The 4460-nt window shown below is 37.5% G+C and overlaps 1 annotated feature.

Moving 5' to 3' along the window:
- Nucleotides 2863-3297: a transcriptional cis regulatory region, noted in NCBI's record as "candidate enhancer chr8.2225 targeted for multiplex CRISPR interference". NCBI's record gives its function as "positively regulates DECR1 gene expression in K562 cells {active_cell/tissue: K562}" and the evidence as "EXISTENCE:mutant phenotype evidence [ECO:0000015][PMID:30612741]".

Here is a 4460-nt window from a genome sequence, read left to right as displayed (position 1 = left end):
ACGCCACTGTGCTCCAGCCTGGGTGACAGAGTGAGGCCCTGTCTCAAAGAAAAGAAAAAAGATCATTCTTTGGCATTATTTAATTTTTTGTTTTATATGTGAGGAAATAGAGGCACAAAAAGATACGCAGTGTCTCCAACCTCGTCCAAACTATCCAGTCACTGCATGAAAATGTGCTCAATTAATTATTAATGTGAACTTTTATTACGTTTATAACACTCCTTCCAAGTTCTAATGTCTTAATCATAGACACCAAGAATCAAAAATTCAGTGAGTGGGGACCGAGACAAATAGAGAAACTAAAGGAGGTGGAGCTATTAGCCCAGAAACAAGAAAACTCCTTGGAAACTTAGTGACTTTCTGCAAGACTTACTTTAAAGGTGTTCCTGACCAGCTATTTTCCGTCCATCATCATAGAGATTATAACTAAAATAAATGACTTTAAAGTGCCTTAGAGATTACAGTTGATAAATGGAGGATCTTTTTGAGAAGCAAGAGTAGCTGAAAACAGTTGTTGCGACTAGTGCATTTCCTTCTGAAGAGCTTTTTAAAGCAATTATATATTCTACATGGATTATAGTTAATTTTATTTTTTCTAAGCCTAGGCTTTGGACTAAACTGGTAGTTCTTATTGTTTTCAAGGGCCATAAATCTCTTTGAGAATCTTATGAAACCTACAGATCATCTCAGAAAAATGCATACAGTCACACAGATCCTGAAGCTCTTTAACAACCTCTGGGTAGGACGACATCTTAAGATTCCTTCCCACTATGAGATTTTGCAGGGAGCTCTGAGATGCTTGTGAGAAAGGAACTCTCTGTTCTAAATATCACAAGCATGTGGATATAAGAGAAATAAGAGATTTCCAATGATCTATGACTTCTGGGATCAGGTTGGAATTCCTAAAATGTCTTTCTTCTTGCTCCGTATCTCATCTAGACACTGTAGGCTACAGCTGAAATGGTGCATGCTGCTTGGGTGGGAAAAGGAAAAAAATACTCTTGTTAAAGCAAATATAGATCTTTACTGTTCCAGCAAACATCTTCCATAGCTCTCTGATGTTCCAATCCTCAAAGGAGGAAACCATGGCCATGGCCATTCCCACACTCCATATGCCCTTCATCAGGAGTCAGCCAGAGCTGCCACACTGAACAAATGCTTTTGCACAAGGGAGAGGCCATTAAGCCCTCCTCAGTCAGCTTACCAAGCATATTAAGGCTGGCCTGGCTGAAGGGGTTCTGAAAAGAACTGTGGTTTAGCTTGAGCCCAATTTGCCTTAACAATCTGAGTACATAGCAGCAAGTTTGAGGACAGGTAAAACTAGCAGACTTTCTACTTACATTTTATTGTCTCTCTAGTGCTCCCTAAGGTTCCCCAAGCTGGTGTTCCTGAGCACCCACTATAATCACCACCTTAAAAAAATTATTGGTAAATTTTAACTTCTCTATCCTTAACATATCTCCATCAACCATCATTCATAAATTAGTTCATGTTTGACGTTAGAGAAGCATTTGAGCATTGCAACAGAGAACCTATATTCTGGAATCATACTGAGTAGTTTCAAGTTCCAGAGGTATCACTTACTAGCTGTGTGACTTTGAGCAAATCACTTGGTCTCTGTACTTCAGTAGCCTTATAAGTAAAATACCAAAAGTAATTCTCATTTCATAGAGTTATTATAAAGATTGAGATAAAATTCATAAAGTTCTTGAAAATGTGCCTGGGGCACACAGTGAGTTCTCCCTATACCAGTGTTGGTTAATATTTTCACACACATTATCTTATTTGAACCATATGATAGTACTTGTGGAGGAGGCAGGACAGTTAACTTTACACATATTGGAAACAAAGGTTCATAGAGGTTAAGTGACTGATTCACATACAGAGTAAGTTTTGGAGTGGAATGGTGCTCTTTCCTTTGACCTTTGGTTCATAAACTTTATTGGATCATAGACCCTTTGAGAATTTTTTTTTAGTCAGAGTCTTGCTGGAATGCAGTAGCATGATCATAGCTCACTGAAGCCTTGAACTCCTGGGCTCAATCCATCCTCCCGCTTCAGCCCCCCAAGTAATGGGGACTATAGGTATGCACTACCATCACCACCATGCCCAACTAATTTTTTTTTTTTTTTGATAGATGTGCTTTCCTAGGCTGGTCTAGAACTCCTGGCCTGAAGTGACCTTCCCATGTTGGCCTCCCAAAATGCTGGGGTTGAAGGTGTGAACCACCATATCAGCCCCTTTAGAGAATTTTATAAAAACTGTGAGCCATTTCCTCTCCCCCAACCAAAAAAAAAAAAAAAAGCATATCTGCAAACCACTCGAATGTTTGCCTATATTTTTAAGAACTCAAGAACAAAATGGAGCCCATTCATGAACCCTCTTTGGACCTTGCTTCAGAATTCCCTGTTTTTTCCAAGAATTTCAGAATTACCCATTCTTCTCCAAGAAAATCATTTTTTGTTATGATGTTTCTTTCCCAGATTTCAAAACTGCTGTCTACCAGTGATTCTCAGGCACTATGGCAGCTAACACATCTTAAATTGTGGATCTCCTGACTCTCCTGCTTCTACATTTAAATCAAAAAGTTTATTCCATTTGTGTTTGAACTATCGGCACCCATTACCTCAGTCTCTGCATTATTTTTCATTTGTTTCCTGATTGCCTTCTGCTTCTATAAACACAAATGAAGGTAATAAGCCCCAGTTGCATTTCCACTTTAACCCTTCTTTATTTACACCAAAATTAGATAAAGCTGGCTTGACCAAAAATCATAGAAATTCAAGCAACTATTAGCTTTTCTGAGGCTCAATTAGTTCACTTTTTTTTTTTTTACTGGAAAGTTAGAGACTATGTTACATGTGAACTCATTTTACCCAAATCTTTTTGTTCTCATAACCACCATTTTGCTTTTCAAAACATCTGTATCAGTCAGTATCACCACTAAGTTTAGGTAATTTATTTATATTTGCTGTTTCTTCATATTTGCATGGGAGTAGACCATGGGGAGAAAAAAATGCATTCACCAGGAATTTGACAAGAAAATCTTACTTATCTTAGTTACTCATGTTAATGAGTCATCTTCTTGGAAGACAGGCAGTTATCTGCATTTGCACAGCTGATGTCAGCTGAATTTTATGCAATTTCAAAGAACAGAAATAGGAAAAGTCTAACTCTGGAGTAATTGGATCTCAATCATAGATGACCATAGTAACATTTTCTTTAAAAACAAAAGTACAATTATACACTGAGCCAAAGCAGTTTAAGCTTTGCTTTAAAATCCACACTTCCTAGGAAGAAAAAAGTGGCTTAACAAACTATGGAAATAAATTTGCTCTTGACATAGTTTGTTAACTTTTCAGCATCAGTTAAAACTCTCTTCATTTTGGTAACATTACACTAGAATTCTAAAAACTGGAATAGACAATACCTCCTGATCCATCTATTTCTAAGCTAAAATAATACCAGCATTTCTATGAATTTCTGAGCCATGCAGTGATATATCCATGAGAAATAAAAATAACATTTTAAACTACTTTAAAATAAGTAAATCCATTATTAGCTTCATTGTCATGCAAAAAAGAAAACATACGTAAACCTTTTGAATCAATGCAAGATGTTCTCAAGAAAGAATAGAAAATAATTTACTCCAAGAACGGTGGCTCACGCCTGTAATCCCAGCACGTTGGGAGGCCAGGGTGGGTGGCATTCCAGGCCAGGCTGGGCAACACAGAAAGACCCTGTCTCCACAAAAAATTAAAAATTATCCAGGCATAGTGACACAAACCTGTAGTCCCAACTACTCAGGACGCTGAGGCAGAAGGACTCCGTGAGCCCAGGACTTCAAGATTACAGTGAGCTATGATTGGTCCACTGCACTCCAGCCTGGGCAACAGAGCAAGACTCTGTCTCAAAAAAAAAAAAAAGAAAAAAGAAAAAGAATTTAACAAGTAAGGAAAACAGTCTCCAAGGGTGCCAAACTACCCTTTTGCTTTGTTTCTTTTTCTCCCTGAGTTACTTTGAGAAAGAAAAAGAGGTCTGCACTAAAGGCAGCACACCTGGCATGGAACAACATATGGTGGAAGGCAGCAAGGAGCCTCATCCAGGAGCAAGGACATTTCCCAGGCACTGCCGCAATGGTGGCTCTGCAACATTCACCAGTCCCTCTAAGGGCTTCTCCAGAGAAGCAGAACAAACAGGAGATATAGACAGATATAGATATACATATACATATAGATTAATTGATATATAGATAAGATATAGGTATAGATAGATAGATATCTAGATATATCTCTATATATCTATATCTAGACATATCTCCATATATCTGTATCTAGACATATCTCCATATATCTATATCTAGACATATCTCCATATATCTATATCTACACATATCTCCATATATCTCTATATATCTATATCTAGATATATCTCTATATATCTATAGATAAATGTCTATA

The sequence above is a fragment of the Homo sapiens genome, chromosome 8 (assembly GCF_000001405.40).
Source record: "Homo sapiens chromosome 8, GRCh38.p14 Primary Assembly".
NCBI classification, from domain to species: domain Eukaryota; kingdom Metazoa; phylum Chordata; class Mammalia; order Primates; family Hominidae; genus Homo; species Homo sapiens.
Note: the sequence above shows the minus strand (reverse complement) of the source record. Positions and strands in the feature narration are given on the sequence as shown.